Below are 17,911 nucleotides of genomic sequence, written 5' to 3'. Positions count from 1 at the left end.
GGGACATGGATGAAGTGGGAAACTATCATTCTCAGCAAACTATCACAAGGACAGAAAACCAAACACTGTATGTTCTCACTCATAAGTGGGAGTTGAACAATGAGAACACATGGACACAGGGCAGGGAACATCACACACCAGGGCCTGTTGGGCGGGGGATGGGGGCTATAGGAGGGATAGCATTAGGAGAAATACCTAATGTAGATGATGAGTTGATGGGTGCAGCAAACCAACATGGCACATATATACCTATGTAACAAACCTGCACATTGTACACATGTGCCCTAGAACTTAAAAATAAAAATAAAAACAGAGAAAGAGAACAAAATTGAATGAGAAAGTTACTAGGTGGCCCCAACCAAACTCAAAGAGCTTGGCCAGAAGATGAATTATAAATTCTAGCTAAGGAGTAATAATGGAGTCACTCTTGCCTGCTTGGAACTTAGCGTGGTTGGGCAAAGGCAGAGCTGGAAGGAAACAGCAGCCCAGGCCTGGACTTAGAAGACCTAGAGTCAGGTTCTGGCTTTACAGGGCAGGCTGCTTCCTCTGTAAAATGGGAACATCACCTGCCTCGTGGGGAGTGCTGGGAGGATTAGAAAAGGGACAGAGTCCAGGTACCCAGCATAGGCCCTGTCCTTTGTGGGCAATCAATCAATGACAGCTATTATTAATATTTCAGAGAAGTTAGTGTTCTTCGGGACAAGGTGAAAAATAGGCGGCTGGTGTAGGGAGCTGAGGACTGGACATCCAGGTAGGATGCTTCTACATCAATAACCACAGATAATTCCACACAGAGTCCTGCTCAGGACACAGCATCTAATGCATCTGTGAGCTGGGGCTCAGATCTGGGGCTCAGAGCCAGCTCTGTGTGACCTGTGGCTTCTGCCACACCCATCAGCCTGCTCCACTCTTCAGGATCCTCTTTCCAATCTTCTCATCAGAAGCAGAGGCCTTGGGAACTCATGAGTGTTGACATATTTTCAAAGCCCATCTGAGTGCTCTTACTGGACTCTTCAACTGATTTTTTTGGCAATAATAATAGTAACATTATAGTTGTAGTAAGTTGTAGCTTACATAGTACTTCCTATGTCATGAGACATTCTAAGCACTTTCTTTGTCTTACTGTATTTAATCCTCATAACAACCCAATGAGGTAGTTACTATTATGAATGGCCAGCTACAGACTGGAGGAAATGGAGGCAGTTGAGAGGATAGGCACTTGCTCAAGGTCACAGTTAAGTGGTGAGTATGGGATTGGAACTGGGGCAACATGGTCTGGGATGCACTCTCTGCTGCCAACTCCCATGAAGAAGTGGGATGATGGTCACTGCAAAGGAAACCTCTTCACCAACCCTATCAGTTCTGTTCCTGAGTCCCAAGGGCCCCATGGCCCTGACCCTCAGCCCTGCTCCATGTGGTGGTGCCAGCTGGTTTTCCAAGCTCAGCCAGAGTGAGGGACCCTGCCTAGTGGGGGGCAGCAACTAACGGGTTCAATCCACCTAATTCCAACTGGGATTTGGCCTGAAGAATTTGGAAAGGGAAAGGGAGCTGACATGGACTCCACAAGGGGGTCTTCTCCCCTCCAGACCCAGCCACCAGAACGACCACCATCAAGCCCCCTTCCTGAAGCAGCCTGGGGCTGTGCTCCTCACAACCACTGAGACTAACTGGCACAGTTGACTCCTGTTTTCTAGCAAACAGCTATGCTTGAGCAAACTTCCTCTACTTGGGAAACGTCATCTCTTAGCCTCTTGCTAAATAGTATAAACCCCAGGGGCTTAATATGAAGGCCTTCTAATGGATTTATTGTGTTTATTTGACCTTTCCAAGTGTGAGCTCAGAAACAGGCCCAGAGGAGGATGGTGGAAGCTTGTTTTTCTTAAGTTAAGTAAAACTGATGAGTAAACTGAATTCTTGGATGGAGTCTGCCCAGTTTTCTCACTCAAGCTCCCCTCCTCCTTTAGTCAAATGATCCAATTAGGCCCAAGAGGAACCCAGTATTTATGAGATACTCCAGAAGAGGAAAATTGTGTCTAAGAAGAAGTGGTAAATGATGAAGTCTGAAATAAATGTTTTCAGTTTATAAACAGCCATGATACAAAATAATAGTTGGCAAATTTAAAAACAGCTACTTTACTTCCGCTTCTAGTTTCAAGGCAAATGATTTTTTGTTTTAGATAAATTTTTAAAAAGCTAATGATCAGTGCATTAATGAAAACTATCTCAAGTACCACAAATACATTTGCAATTTAGATCAAAGGCTGCAAACTCCGGCATCCATGGTGCCAGGCAGGTAACCTAACTGAATAGTGGGGAGCAGGTGTAAGCTATGGGCAGGGGGCATTTCCTGCTTTTTCCAGAAAACTCCAAAATTCAGGTTTTTATGTGACATTTCTGTGTTGTTTTAATTTAGTATGGCCAAACAAAATATTTCTAGGCCCAGATCCAGCACTGAGCTGACAGTGTCACTTCTATCGCAGAATAAAGCTCATCCACCACCGTTAGGGATGTCAGTACCTGCCAACGCCACTGGGGACAGCTGGTCCCTCAGTAAGCTGCCAGAGATCGGATCCAACCACAGAGGCCCAAACGCAGTTGGATCCAGGAATCTGATCATTGTTCTTCCATACCTCAACCAACTCTAGCTATGATGTCCGTAACTACGTAAAAAACCAGAACTGCTTTTAAACCCCATTTAGTGTCTGAGTGTCCAGATTGGGAAGTTCACTTTGCGCTGATGCCGGCTGAGCACTTGACCTACAGTAGCTTACTCAGTCCTCCTCACACCCTATGAAGGAACTCAGGCACAGAGAGGTCACGTGATTTCCAAGGTCATGCAGGCAACATTGGCAGGGCTGCTGGGCTCACAAGACTCTTGCGTTCCCCACAAGACACTGGTCAACGCCCAGAACATTCACATATTTAATGTACAATGCCTACAATGTCTACTTTTTCCATAAAAACAGACACTTCCTTTCTTATTTTACCGTAGACAAGGGGTAGCAGACATTAGAGGTTTATGGACAAAAACATATTGGTAGAGAAAAATGATAGAGAAAATGAACTTTTTTTGAATTGGGAAAAGGCAGAAAAATACCTTAGTTCAGATAGTGGCAAAAGCAGTTTCTCAAAAGACCACAGACTGAGATGCCCTTGACCGTGGATAACAATGATAATCACCTAAGACCAGCGCAGCTGCCCTCTGCAGAGCCCTGCCAGTGTGCCCAGGCTGGCCACGGTGGTTTAGATGCATCTGGTTGCTTGCTGGGCCAGCACAGTGGGTCTAGACTCGGCCTCATTTTCCCATGTTACTTCACAGTGAGGAAAACCAAGTGCTGAGATTAAGCTTCTAGCACAATATTGCAGAGCCGGTGAGTAGAGGACAGGCACCTGCGCATTCACCGTGTTTCGTCAATTACCCATAGGAGTTAGTTCCAAAGCTCTTAAGGATTTGTCACGTGCCAGGTCAGCTGCAGGGGAGCTGGAAATGAGTGAGATACCCTCAGCTGGAGGAGAGCACACTTTCCTGGGGTCATGGGGAATGAAGGGTGCTCCCCCAGGGCCATGCTCAGGGCGATTGACTGAATTCACCCCTGGTATTTTCCACATGAACACAGCTGACCTGTTGACTGAATTCTGGTGGCAACTTCTTGCACTGAATTTATTTATAATTTTTAAATTGAGGTGAAGTTTACATAACATGAAATTAATCATTTATTTTATGTTTTTGAGACAGAGTCTTACTCTGTCACTCAGGCTAGAGTGCAGTGGTGTGATCTTAACTCACTGTAACCTCAAATTTCTGAGCCCAAGGAATCCTCCCACCTCAGCCTCTCAAGTAGCCAGGACCACAGGCATGCGCCACCATGTCTGGCTAATTTTTTGTAGAGATGGGGTTTCCCCATGTTGACCAGGCTGGTCTCAAACTCCTGGACTCAAGCGATCTGCCCGCCTTGGCCTCCCAAAATGCTGAGATTACAGTCGTGAGCCACCACGCTCGGCCAAAATTAACCATTTTAAAGTATACAATTCAGTGGCATTTAATACATTCACAGTGTTATTCAACAGTCACTTCTGTCAAGTTCCAAACCATTTTTATCACTTCCAAAGGAAACCCTGTGCCCATTAAGCAGTCATGTCCCATCCTCCATTCCCCAGACCCTGGAAACCACTAATCTACCCTCTGTCTCTATGAATTTACCTATTCTGGATATTCCATGCCCAGAATATGAATATGGAATATTATATGATTGTATGGAATCATATAATGAGACCTTTTGTATCAGGTTTCTTTCACTTAGCACAATGTTTTCAAAGTTCATTGATGTTGTAGCATGTATCCGAATGTCATTCCTTTTTATGGCTAAATAATATTCCATTATATCAATATGCCACATTTTATTTGCCCATTCATCCACTGGTGGACATTTTGGGCTGTTTGCACCTTTTGGCTGTTGTGAATGGTGCTGCTATATTCATGCATAAGTATTTGTTTGAATACCTACCTGTTTTCATTCCTCTTCTGTATATACCTAAGAATGGAATTGCTGGGTCATATGGTGATTCTATGTTTAACTTTTTGAGGAACTGCCAAACTGTTTTCCACAGCAGCTGCATCGTTTTACATTCTCACCAGGAATTCCTCCAAATCTTCCCCATTTGTTATTTTCTGTTCTGCTTGTTTGCTTTTTAATTATAACCATCCTAGTGGGTATGAAGTGGCATCTCACTGTGGTTTGGATCCTTGTGCTGAATTTAAAGCACTGCTTCCTGACCTTTTGCTCAGCATGAGATACAAAGAAGATGGGAGAACAGCTGGGGTAACCTGGAGGGGCTCTGTCCAGGCATCTGTCCAAGACATGGTCAAACAATTCATTTGCCCATTGTCCTAGCTACCTAAAGGGGCCTCAGAGGCCCCTGTCAGAACCCCTCTACTTGGGCCACTTGCTGAGAGGCCCTGGAAAGCTCCTTGAGGCCAGAAGTGGTCCGTCCATGGGCTCTGCTGCCCCATGCCTTGCCTGGCCACTCCGAGGACTGAGAGGAGCAAGGTCTGGCACCCAATAACCCATCTAGGGTTATGATGGGACAGCCCAGTCAGCAGGCAGAGGGAAAATCCATGAATTTAGTTGAACAAGATTCCTTCTGTCTTTTTTTTTTTTTTTTTTTTTTTTTGAGACGGAGTCTCGCTCTGTCGCCCAGGCTGGAGTGCAGTGGCGGGATCTCGGCTCACTGCAAGCTCCGCCTCCCGGGTTCACGCCATTCTCCTGCCTCAGCCTCCCAAGTAGCTGGGACTACAGGCGCCCGCCACTACGCCCGGCTAATTTTTTGTATTTTTAGTAGAGACGGGGTTTCACCGTTTTAGCCGGGATGGTCTCGATCTCCTGACCTCGTGATCCGCCCGCCTCGGCCTCCCAAAGTGCTGGGATTACAGGCGTGAGCCACCGCGCCCGGCCTCCTTCTGTCTTTTGATAGAAGGCCCAGGTACTGGCTCTACCACAAACTTGCTGTGAGAAAATATTAATAGCCAGCATCACTAGTGTGTCTACTGTACCAGGCACTGTTCTAAGAACTTTCCATAAATTAGCTCATTTAATCCTCATAACAACCCTTGGCATCTTCATTTACAGATGAGGAAAGTGGATCACAGGGGGGTCACCACCTGCCTAAGGGCATCTTGGAGCCAGTGAGTGATCAGTGGGGATCCCACCACAGTCCTAGCCCAGGTTCTGACTGACACGCATGGTGCCTCCCTGGGCTGCAGTTCTCCAGCTGGGAGGAGAAGGGCGGGTTTTCTCCAAACAGCAGAACCCTTTGCCAAATGAAATTTATGCAGAACTCCAGTCTATTTAGCGGAGAGACGGGAAGCTGCTCAGAGTGGAGGGTGGGGTCTCAGGTTCTAACCATAAGGCAGGGCTTTGAGGTCTTCTGAGGAACAGGTTTTGGGTTCCACGATCCTGAGAAATGAATATGGCAAAGCCCTAGACTCTTGCCCGATGGAAGGGGCACATCACATTTAATAAGTGTGAAAACAATACCGTATACTTACAAAGCACTTTGTCTTTTTCCGAGGACCCAAACACTCCATTTGCTCTCAGAGTGAATCATTCCAAAAACACCCTAGAGGATTAATGGGGCCCTAAAGAACCTGTTTCCTAGGACGGAACACTCAGGAAACTGAGAGACCCGCTGATGTGGGTTCTGTGCAAACTGGAGTGTTCCCACTCTTTTCTTGCTGTGGTTTCAGCTTGCATGGCAGTTTCTCGCAGCCCAGGCCTCTTCCTGCCTCAACAGTTCAATCTAGGGACCAAAAATAACCACCAAGCATGGAGCGCTCACTATGTGCTGGGCCCTGTGCTCAGAATTTTTGACAAATCATTTCCCTTAATCCTTATGATGACCCCATGAGGGAAGTACTACAGGACCATTGTCCCTTACCAAAAAAAAAAAAAAAAAAAAAAAAAAGCAAGTTCCAGGGTTTAGTAATTAGGTTGCATATGCTATGTATGGTATAACATCCCCAGCGGACTGCAACCAAACACTTTAATATTTCTACAGTGAAACCTATGAATATTCACGCCAAGTGAAATAAGGAGTGATATAAATAGTCTCACCCAGTTCAAGTTGAGTCTGGCTGCCAAATGAGTTTGCCCCAAACTTATGAAAAAAGTTTTGGTTTTCAGAACATAGTCCTGCACTAGTGTCTTCATTTAACAAATAAATGAGGCTCTGAGAGGTTAAATGACTTGCCTAATTAGGATAACATAGCTGGTGAATACTGGAGATAGAGTTCAAGCCAGAAGTATGACGTTAGAGCCCAAGTCTATAACCACTTTGTTACATGCACAGGTTTCTGGGGGAAACAGCTGACAGTTCAAATCCCTGCTCTGCCACTTTGGAGCCGTGGGATCTGGGCAAATCACTTCACCTCTGGGACTCTCAGCTTCTGTGGAGGTCAATGTGGTTGTTCTCAAATATTCTGGCTCTTGCCCTCTGAGCAATGATCAGCTTATCCTTCCCTACTCACTTGAAGTTAGGTGTGGCCATAAGACTTGCTAAGGAAATGGCAGCAGAAGTGATGTGTGTTACTTTTGCTTGGAAACTTTAGGAGCCAGTGTGAATTTTGCTGCCTTCACTTTTCCATTAGTCACCATTAGGGGCTGTTCCTTCTGCCCTGGACCCAAAGTGAGGACACACTTTGTGGAATAAAGCCTCCTGCTGAACAGCAATGAGCACACAATATGGGCAAAAACAAACCTTTGTTGTTTGAAGTCAGTGAGGTTTGGGGATTGTCTGTTACAGCAGCAAAACCTGGGCTATCCTGACTGGTATAGTTTCCTTCTCTATAAAACAAGTTGTGTGAAGATTGAATGAGATGGTACATATAAAGCTCCAAGGCAGTATGTGGCAATGGGTATCTGTTAATTCCCTCTCCCATTCTCAGCCTCTATTTCCCCAACTGTAAGAAGCTGTTAACTTGCTCTGTTTTAATGATTGAAAATGCTAGTTAACCTATGAGATGTTAATGGAAAGAATTTTTGGAGTATCCACAAAAACCTGGATATATTGTCTTACATGTCCCTCTTACCACTCTGGCTTTGATGGGGAGGCTGAGAAGAGGTGGTGGGAGGTTGGGGACAGAACTCCAGCCCTGGGACAGGGCTGAGGCCTCTGGGTTCCTGAAAGAAGCATCCGCTGTGGACCAAATATCCCCAAAGGCAGGGCTGCAAAGGGCCAGAGAGTGTCAGGAGGAGGTCAGAAGGGTCAAGTGGCCTGACAGCTGCTGAGCACAGAGGAGGCACCATTTCTCCCTCAGGCCAACAGATGGAGGGAGTGAGGCTGTGGGGCGGAGATTCTCTGCGATGAAAATGTGCAGTTGCCACAGGACGTGAGTTAAGACCCATTTAGCAACACCGATTAAGGAGCTATAAATAGCACCTGGGCTCTCTCACAGGCCGTAAAACACTCTTCTCTGCACTGCTCCCAGCCTGTGACCTGCCCTGCTTAATTGGGGCTCAAAATAAAATACCTGGAAGGCCGCTTTTTGATGGAAGGCCCTTGTTGCCATGGTGACCAGTTGCTGGGACCAGGGTGGGGCAGAGGCTTGATACAAGGCTGCTGAGATGTAAGATGGGGAGGAAGAGGAGGAGGAAGAGGGGAGAGAAAGGGAAAGTGAGAAAACAATGATAAAGATTACTGTGGAAGTCTAAAATCCACATCACGAGGCCGATGGAAACACCAGCTTCTCTGCCTGTAATGGCTATGAAAAATGGCAGCCTCACCCAGCTGATGGGCTAGCAAATGAGGACCGCTGGCAAGGAAGTGGATCTGGCTGGCCCAGGGTGGGTATGGGAGGCAGAGGAGTGAGTTTCAGGCCTGGCTCAGTCCCTGAACAGCAGGTGAGCTGGAGCTGCTCCCCACCTTCTCTGGGCCTTTCCACTGTAAGATGAGGGGTGGAATGAGAAGGTCTCTAAGCTAGGACTAACAACTGAGCTCCCACCATTGTCAAGGAGAAGGCGGAAGCTCCATGTGCTGAATCACCTCCAAGATATATGAAGTGATGGAAGCAAGGTGCATGGCAAGGTGTGAGTGGACTGCTGCTGTTTGTGTATTTGTGGGAAACACCTTAGAATACACAAGAATCTGACAGCATCGGTTGCCTCTGGGGAGGGTGGCTGAAAACAGGGGTGGGAAGAAGACTGATCACTGTCATGTTTTAATAAAACCTTATAAATGTATTCAAAATAAGTAAAATCTAAATTTAAAAAACTGGACTCCAAAAGGCCCAGGTTTTGATGAATGAATAAATACCAGTTAGAGCGGTGGGGTCACCCTCCATGATCTGGTCTCTTTGCTGACTGCTCTCTTCCTCGTATGCACCTTGGACTTCTCACAACCTCCTGAGTGCTGCTGTGCAATTTAAAGCCGCTGTGCCTTCACACATGCTGTGCCCTCCCCTGAAATGCTGCTTTCGGTCTTCTCCATCTAGGGAAAGGGATACTTGAGTCTTTAAATCTCAACTCAAATATTCCTCCTCTGTCTGCACTTCCTCGATGCCACAGCTGACCCAAACACCTGATATTCTCTCTCTCCTCCACGCCTCCTGCACTACCCAGAGCCCTTTATTAATGCTCATCTCACTGAACTATCACTATTGTTACTTGTGTGGCTACCCGATAAACTAGGGGCTCTTTGAGGCATGGCCTCGGTCTGATCCTAGGGAGTACCCCAGGACCTAGCACAGAATGCTGCTCAGTAAATGTTCTCCATCTCTGAGAGATCAAACACACACAGAACATCTATCCCAGGTGGCTCCCTGGTGGTCTATCCACTAAAAATTAAGTCTTTTCTCTTATTCCACCTCCTGCTTTGGCCTCATCTGAATGCTGGGAAAGTTAATTTTTAACATTAGTTTGAGCAAAATACAATTAGGAAGGGAAGCCCTGCAGCAAGAAGTGATCTCAGTACATGCGCCCAGCAGCACACAGTGAAGGGCCTGGCTGCTGCTCTGCCCACTGCAGTAATTGATTTTGTGGGTTATTCATAGCAAAGGTGTCATCGGGGCCTTCACCTTGGCTGCCTCTCTGTCTGCCTGCTTGGGAACCCTGTGGTAACGAGACTCCCACGAGAAGGGGTTGCCAGGCAGAGGCTCCTGAGCTCGGTGATTTAACTAGCTCTGTGAATTCAGTAAGACTCTGACCCTCGCTGGCCCCCATTCACAGCAGAAGGGGCTTGCACCAGAGTCCCTAAGGCCCTGCCCACTTGGACACTCTATCTGGAATTTTAAACATTAGCCCAAGCAGGACAGAACAGCGAAAGAGGCCACCGCAGACAAATAAAAATCTTTTATTTTATTTTTTTTTTTAAGACAGAGTCTCGCTCTGTTGCCCAGGCTGGAGTGCAGTGGTGTGATCTCGGTTCACTGCAACCTCCACCTCCTGCGTTCAAGTGATGTTCGTGCCTCAGCCTCCCAAGTAGCTGGGATTACAGGCTTGAGCCACCATGCCTGGCTAATTTTTGTACTTTTAGTAGAGAAAAGTTCACCATGTTGCCCAGGCTGGTCTTGAACTCCTAACCTCAGGTGATCCACCTGTCTTGGCCTCCCAAAGTGCTGGGATTACAGGCCTGAGCCACTGTGCCTGGGCACAAATAAAAATCTTCAAGTCAATTTTAGAGACTAGCAGAGGGGATGTAAGGCTGTCCCAATAGTTACAGGATGATATTCACATGCAAGACAGACTCCCAGAAGGAAACTCAGAAACCTAAGGGACTACCTTTCTTCTTCAGGGCTGAGTTGAAGGCATTGTTGAAACATGTCTTCACCAATACTGTCCTTGCCCTGGATGGACACATAGTGGGGACAGGACAGAGGCCAGGCCCAACTCTGTTTTCTCTGTCGCTGAACAGACTCTTCTCGTCTTATTTATTTTTTTCCTAAGCCTTTTGCATTCCTATGAACACACCTTTCCAGTGAATGAAGCGACATTACCATTAAGATAGTCTTATCACTCTGATTTACTCAAAAGATAAATAATGTATGAACTTCCATTCTACTAACTTTTATGTTAATTACTAATGGATTTCTGATGGTTTTGCCTCCAGCATCCGTCACCTGCCCTTTAGGTAAAACATTTCAGATCCCTTGGGGAGTGTGTTTTTCCTGAGGCTTTGCCCCATCCCAACCCCAGGCGTGGAGCCTCTGACCAGGCTGAGCCAATCAGCACATTCCAGTCCAGTGGCCACTGTGACTGACTGGTTCAGGGGTGAGCCTGAGATCCCAGTGGGGCCCATGAGAGTGGATTCCAGGACTTGTGCTGGGCATGGCCTGCAATAAGAAGGAGCAACAGGTGGACCCAGGGCCTCCTTGAAGTCATTTGGGGACCTGAGAAAGATGACCCCATACAGAGGCCTCTAGAATGTGTATGTAGGAGGGGCTCAGGAGTGGTGGTCTGTGAGATGGGAGATCTAGGAAACACTGTCTGCTTAGATCCTGTTATTTCAGGTAGGTTGAGGGTGTGGGGCCTAAAGCCCCATAAGACACCCCTAAGGTGCCACTAGACACGAAGGAAGAAGAGCTGAGAAATGGAGAGAGAGACGTCAGACCCTGCCAATGGTGTTTGAACCTGGGATTACAGGTGAGGCTAAAGCAACTACAATTACTCAGTGACAAAAGCACATATATTCCTTTTATTAACTTAAGGCAGTTTGGGGTCAGGTCTTCTGTTCCTTATAAAAGAATACAACTAACAAACTACTTCTGCTGTGCTAAGCCCATCCTAGACCCTGAACTTGGTTTCTTGAACTCTGATCGGAGGTAATTCCTGATGGATACCCTAGGGTGTGGTAGAGGGTCTCTGGTCTGGTGAGAAAGGCATGGGGTGAGAACTGCCCTTAAGAGGACTGCAGTCAGAGCAGATCCCAGGGAGGGTGAAAAGCCATAATGGGATACCTGAGGCCAGGCCAAGGTGCACACTTAGAGGAGGAGGTGCTGCCTTCATGGAGTGGCCCGAGGGCTCCAGAAAGCCTTGCCCCACACTATCTCCCCAACTGGTACCTCAAAACCCACCTGAGCATTTTTCTTTGAGTTCAGTGCAACATAGGAGGACAATAAAGAGGGAATGTCCAAGTTAAAACGGAGTCTCCAGGGACACCAGCCCACACAGGAGCTGCAAAAAAAGGATCTGCCACCTAGAGGGCTGGAGTGGCTGACTCAGTGCCACCACGGCCAGTCTAGGGCAGAGCACAGACTAGAACCTCTGAATTCTCACTTCCAAATTGTAGTCCCTTCCAATGGCCCATAGCTGTTGTCTTTGCTCTTGATTTACATCCCGTTATGCAAAATCTGTACCACCAGGTGGCGATGTAGTTACCACATGTAGTGTGGAATTTTAAGTGGCCATCACGGATTCTCTTTTATGAAAGTGTATCTTTATTTCATCTAAAAGATAATAAGCAGTTTACCAGGAAAGGGAGATGGAAAAGAAATTTTTTTAAAAAACGTAGTAAGCATTTAAAACTTTAATCTATTTTATTATAACTTTGAAGGCAAAGAAAAGAATTATGATTACTTACATTGTGTCTTCTTTATTAATTACTTGCCTCTTCCTAACCCTGTCAATGAGGGAGTGGAGAGAAGCCATACCTTGAAGTCAGACCCGCCTGGCTTTGAAATTCAACTCTGCCGTGTATTAGCTGTATGTCTTCGGCAAGTCACTTCTCTTTGAGCTCAAATGATCCATCTGTAACAATGGATTCAATACTACGCCAGACAGGGCTGCTGCATCCTCGGGGGGCAGCATATAGTAGGTGTTTGATAAATCTCAGTTAAATGAATGAATGAGGTACCTAGTGGAATGCTTGGCATAATATAGCAAGTACCCAATAAATGAAACTTATTACTAGAGGCAAAAGGGAAGCAGATCTACCAATGAAATTATAGGCCATGGGCAGTAAGAAATGGGGCTTTGTAGGGGATGTGGGAACTCAGTGGGAGGCCAGGAATCAGCGCAATGGTGACTGCCCACTGGCTTACTGCACAAGGCGGATGCTTTTCAACTTCAGTGTGTAACATCCCGTTTCACCACGCACCTCAGCCTCAAAGCCCTTCTGGAATCCTTTCTGCCTTGCAGTGAAGTTCTGAAGGAGAATTCCCATCCACCCTTTTCTGTGAGCCTTTCTGGCCTCACCTGTGAAAAAGAGGCTAAAATGGTTCCTGAATGTATGGTGCTAAAGATATTTAAGGAACTCAGTCTCCTCATTCATCTGACTCCATCCGCCTTGTGGGCTGAAGACTTTCCAGACTCAGGGCCTCATTCTCTACGTCTGTAAAACCTGCAGGCGGCTTGGATGGTACCCATCCCTTCCAGAGGTGGGATCTTGGGTGTACTCCTACCCCTCAGGCTGACAGGCCTTCCCAGGGGCACAGAATTCTTTTAAAAGGAGCATTGGTTCACTTCAAACCTCCTCAACTCTAACGGCGCAAATTCTGTGACGCTTTATTTTTCCCAGCTTGAATGGGTAGACCTAGCACCTCATAAAGTGACAAGGAAAATATTTGGCTGGTTTCGTAAACCGGGGCCACAAAGGCTCACTTGTGATGGGCCGGCCGCGCAGCCTGTGCTGGCTCCCAGGACGCCCTGGCAGGCCCTGCCCAGGTCTGGGCAGCAAAGTCTGCAGACACCACTGCCTGCCTGACACCGGCCACCTGTGTGCAGGTCACGAGGTCTGGCAGCCTTTCATTCCCGCCTGGCCATCTCCTCCCACAGACTTCCAGAATCTAAGCTGCCAAAAACAACCCCAGCCATCTGCCATGCAGAGGAGATCCTTGGGGGTGTGTCTGGGAGGCCCTCAAAGAAGCTTCTGTGGCTGGTCAGTGGCAGCCACCTGGGAGGTGTCTGCAGCGTGTCCAGGTCACAGTCTGGCCCCAGCAGGCTCTCCTCAAGGAATCTACCCACAAACTTCCCTCTTGCCAGTCTCATGTACTTTCTTCCCCTTCCCCAAGAAATGAAGCACATTCCAGCCCCTTGCCTTTGCTCCTGCCACTCCCACTGCCTGGAGTGCTTTTCCCCTGCCCTCTCCCTCCAGCCCATTCCTGCCCCATTTCAATGCTGCACAAGGTCCTCCTCTCGGCCCAGTCCCTCTGTCATTCTGCACCCGCAGGGACCTGCAGGCACTCCTTGTCTGTACCCCTCACTAGATAATCACACCCTTCTAGGGGCTGCTTTATAGTTTAATGCTGGTATTATTTATTTCACTGCTGAGATCATTTCACTGACACCTCATTTATTGGAAACTGTTGGGGAAAGCTTTCTCAACATGAGTGAATTTGTCGGATCAATGGTCCTTTTAAGTGACGAACCTACTTTGAGCATGATCTCTTTGGGTGGGAATTTTTCTAAGACTCATTATTCCCTGATCTTGAACTAATCACCCTAAACATAACTGAATCCATTCTGGAGGATTCAGAATTAGAAGGAAAAAAAAAAAAAAGGTCATTTTTGGTACTACAACCTTGCTCTGCCTGGCTCCTGAGGGCTGGGCCTCATGCCCCTTTGCTGAATGGCTCCGGACAGCTGCACTTTAAGAGTTCTTGTTTGCTGTGGCTGTTCTGTGTCCCTCATGTGGGTAGGCAGTTCGCTGTTGGAGGGTTGCGGCTGGTGTGCCTGTCTCTGGCCTTACCTACCCTACATTCTCATTTGTGGTTTGTTGTGCGGAGGGAATGGGAGGCAGGTAACCAGGGAGGTATAAATGAACTGCAAGCAAGTAGCACCTGAGAAGACCTTTCTTTAATATACTTCAGGACAGAAGCTGATTCCTTCCCAGGCACCAACTGAGTCTTTTCCATTCATTTTCAGGGTCAGGATTGTGTACAGCTGAGGGCACCAAAAGTGTGTGCTGTTCCGATGCTGCCATTTCCTTGGGTTGATGAGTGAGCTGGATGGGAAGCTCTTTGCTCCCTGTCGTGGGGCCCCTCTGTGTCCACACTGTGCCTGACCTGGAGTAGCTCAGTAACAAGTCCTAGTTGACTTGCCTTGGGGGATGTGGCCTACCCCAGGGTTCACTGTTATCAGCTCCTGCTTTAGAATTAATTGTGCCTTGAAAGGGCATGCTAGGTCTGCAAATGGAGCCAGCTCAGAGGGGGACATGGCTCCAGGCCAGTGTAGGCTGCTGTCTTCAGAGGCTGCCCCTTTGCCACTGGGATTCCTAAAGCCCTGTTGTTAACAATCAGGTATTGGGAAAACAGAGACATCAAACAGCTTTATGCAGCACCCAGGACAGGCGCGGCCACTTGGGAGCCATTCCTTTTTTTGTAAGTGACCGTATCTGGTTTGGGCTGCAGGAAATCCTCTTTTAGGGTCTGGGAATAGAGGGGAGTCCTGGAGTCCAAGTGTGAGGTAGAGGCAGAGATGTGGCCTCTTCCTCATGGGCAGGCTTGGCTGCCCTAGGGCTTGAGGAGTTCTGCCAGGCAGTGTTCTCTTGGCCATGCTTTCTTTGAGCAACCGCATTGACCTCCAGGCATCTCAAAGGGGCCACTTACCTGTTAGTAAGTCTGCAATTTTGCCCACACCCCAACTTATCCTTACTGAAAATTTTCATATATACAAAGTTTCTGTTCCTGCTTGGTTCCTTTATCCTCTGTGAGACCCTGCCTGCCTCTCCAGCTTTTTTTCCTGCCATGCTCCCTGCATGTCACCTGCCACCTGAGTTCTTAAATTGTGCCAGCCTCCCTCTTGCCACAGGGCCTTTGCACATGCTGCTGCTGCTGCCTAGAATACCTTTTTCTTCATCCCTCACCCCCAAACAGGCACCTCACTTGTTAATTCCTCCTCTAAGCTTAGAGGTTCCTTAGATTGGCCTTCTCTGGCTCTCAAGACAGACCAGGCCCCACTCATACACTCTCCCAGGACCATCTACCTTCCCGACATGCCACCCTGCACACTAGTAACCACAGGCTAATTTCTGTAATCGGTTGTATGTTTTCCTTGCTAAGTTGTACGTTCCATGGGGTAGGATCCCTGGCTGCCTGTTCGCTGCCTTATCTTCAGTACCTAGCACAGGGCCTGGCCACAGTACCTGCTCTGTATATATTACTCAGTTACTAAGTGACTACACCCTTCACTCCAGCTCTATCCACACTGAGCTGCCCCAGACCCCGAGCCCTCTCATAACTCCGATTTCTTGCTCTTTCTGCCTGGATACACCTTTATTGCTTGAGTAATTCCTAGTCTTAGATGAAGGAATGAATGAATCAATGAAAGCATGAATAAACAAACTATTAGAACTTTTGGTGATTTATGTGAGAATCCACTGCACAACTGGAAAGGCACGAAATGTGGGGCTAGAGGAGCATTCCTGGAGGAAAGGGCCCTTGAGAAGGAGTACTGCCTTCAGGGAAGCATGATGACTTTACAAGCATCTCTCTAAATGCTTCAGGGAAACCTACAAGTCTCCAGTGAGCAAGGGCTGGTGCGTGGAAACGAATAGTGCAGAACCTATTATGACTAGTTTAAGATGTGCAACACGTTATCGGTGCATCTTCTATTTAGTGTGCTGTCAGTTGTTTAGCTTAAGGGAAGGTAAAAACATTAATACGTGGGAAAGAATTTAGGTGTCCATGATTTGGGGAATATTACACAGGTAATAATAAGAGCCATCTGATGGTGATCACCACTGTGTGCCAGCACCGTCCTGGGCAGTTTATACCCATTCTATTATTTAATCCTTAGGAGAACTTTGCGAGGCGGGGATTATTGTCTCCATTTTACAGATGGGAAGACAGAGGCTTGAAGAGGTTGAGTAACTCAGTCATGGTTCCAGAACTAGCTTGGGGCAGAGCTGGGCTCTCCCCCTGGTAGCTGGACTCCTAAGTCTCTGCCCCAGCTGCAGAGCGAGGAGGTGGGCAGGGGCCACCTGGCAGGTGTCCCCAGGCTGAAGACAAAAGTGCTATCATGGAAAGAAGGTTCCCAGCCCCTGGTCCTGCCAGGTCTGTCTCTCCTGACCTCCCAGCCTTAGTGCGATGCTGAGGGGAGGTGCAAAGCGTGGGCCCTCAGATCACTCTGGCCAGGTCACTAAAGCATGGCAGTGTCAACCTGGTGAGAGCTGTGGCAGTGTCCAAGGGGACAAGAGTTGGGCTCTAAGCTCCACCCACCATTCTCCTCGGGGGGCTCCTTCACTGCCAGCCTCAGAAGGTCCAGGTGGCATTTTTTGGGCCAGTGCCATTCACCCATGACAACTCGTACCACATCCTTCCATACTCACAGAGCTGCAGGTGTCAGGGGGACCCAGCCCTCTGCTGTCTGGGAGTTTCCATTCCCTTCTTGGCCATCATGCATCCCCGCTACCAGAGGGGCAGCTATCTGTCTTGGGCACTGGAAAAGGGGCCTCCAACCACTTCACAGGGACCCTTTGTTGAGTTTATAAAACAAGCATTCACCAGAGGGCTACAATGTGGGTACCAGGGCACCCTCCCTTCTCTCCCTAGGCCCCTGCCCATACCGAGGGCTACCACACCCCAGGACTCAGGGTACCCACTCCACAGGCTCTCTCTCCTCTCCCCTCCTGCCGCCTCTCCACCCTTGGCCTCACCTGTTCAAGCCACCATGACAAGTCATTCCTCAGCAGTGAAGAACCTTTGCTTCACACTGGCTGAGAAGATGCACCCTAACCCTGTGTATCAGTTTCCTGGGGCTGCCGTAACAAAGTGCCATGGACTGTGTAACTTCACAGAAATTTATTGCCTCACAGTTCTGGAGGCTGGAAGCCCAAGATCAAGGTGTCTACAGGGTTGGTTTCTTCTGAGGAGTGTGAGAGAGAATCTGTTCCATGCATGCTTCTCCCCTAGCTTCCGGTGGTTTACCGGCAATCTTTGACTTTCCTTGGCTTATAGATGTATCTCCCTGGTCTCTGCATTCATGCTCACAGGGCGTTCTTCTTGTGTGCATGTCTATGTCCAAATTTCCCCTTTCCATAAGGATACCAGTCACAGCAGATTCAGGCCCACCCTGATGACCTCATCTTAACTTATTACATCTGCAATGACCTCATTTCCCAATGAGGTCACTTTCTGAGGTGCTGGGGTTAGGACATCAACATATGAATTTGTGGGGGACACAATCAACTCATAACACTTCTGTCTATTTTCTGCAAGAGAAGATAAGAGCTGCCAGGGAAGAATAGGGCACAGCCCAGCAGCTCACTACAGGGCAGTTGGGTTGACCACCAGAGAACAATGAGAGAGAATGAGTGAGAGTGAGACACTTGTGCAAAGTCAGCACAGAGGGCAGAGCCATGGGGAGCCAGAGGAAGAGGCCACATGGCTGCTGTATGGCTGATGACAGCCACTATCACAAAACTGTGGCTTTTTGGGCTTGGACAAGACCAGTCAAGACCATACTAGGGCATGTGTCTGATGGTT

General features: G+C 47.9%; 1 protein-coding gene across 1 annotated transcript in view, besides 1 other annotated feature; it reads right to left on the bottom strand.

Annotated features, from left to right (window-relative positions):
• Positions 1 to 17,911, bottom strand: part of SPSB4 (splA/ryanodine receptor domain and SOCS box containing 4) — a 97,265-nt gene that overhangs the window by 30,795 nt on the left and 48,559 nt on the right. The gene's annotated exons all lie outside the window — the stretch shown is intronic.
• Positions 14,354 to 14,870: an enhancer, noted in NCBI's record as "NANOG hESC enhancer chr3:140821789-140822305 (GRCh37/hg19 assembly coordinates)". NCBI's record gives its function as "activates a minimal SCP1, AML or CMV promoter by ChIP-STARR-seq in naive H9 embryonic stem cells {active_cell/tissue: H9 hESC(naive)}" and the evidence as "EXISTENCE:reporter gene assay evidence [ECO:0000049][PMID:30033119]".

The sequence above is a fragment of the Homo sapiens genome, chromosome 3 (assembly GCF_000001405.40).
Source record: "Homo sapiens chromosome 3, GRCh38.p14 Primary Assembly".
Classification (NCBI taxonomy): domain Eukaryota; kingdom Metazoa; phylum Chordata; class Mammalia; order Primates; family Hominidae; genus Homo; species Homo sapiens.
This window is presented reverse-complemented; position numbering and strand designations above follow the sequence as displayed.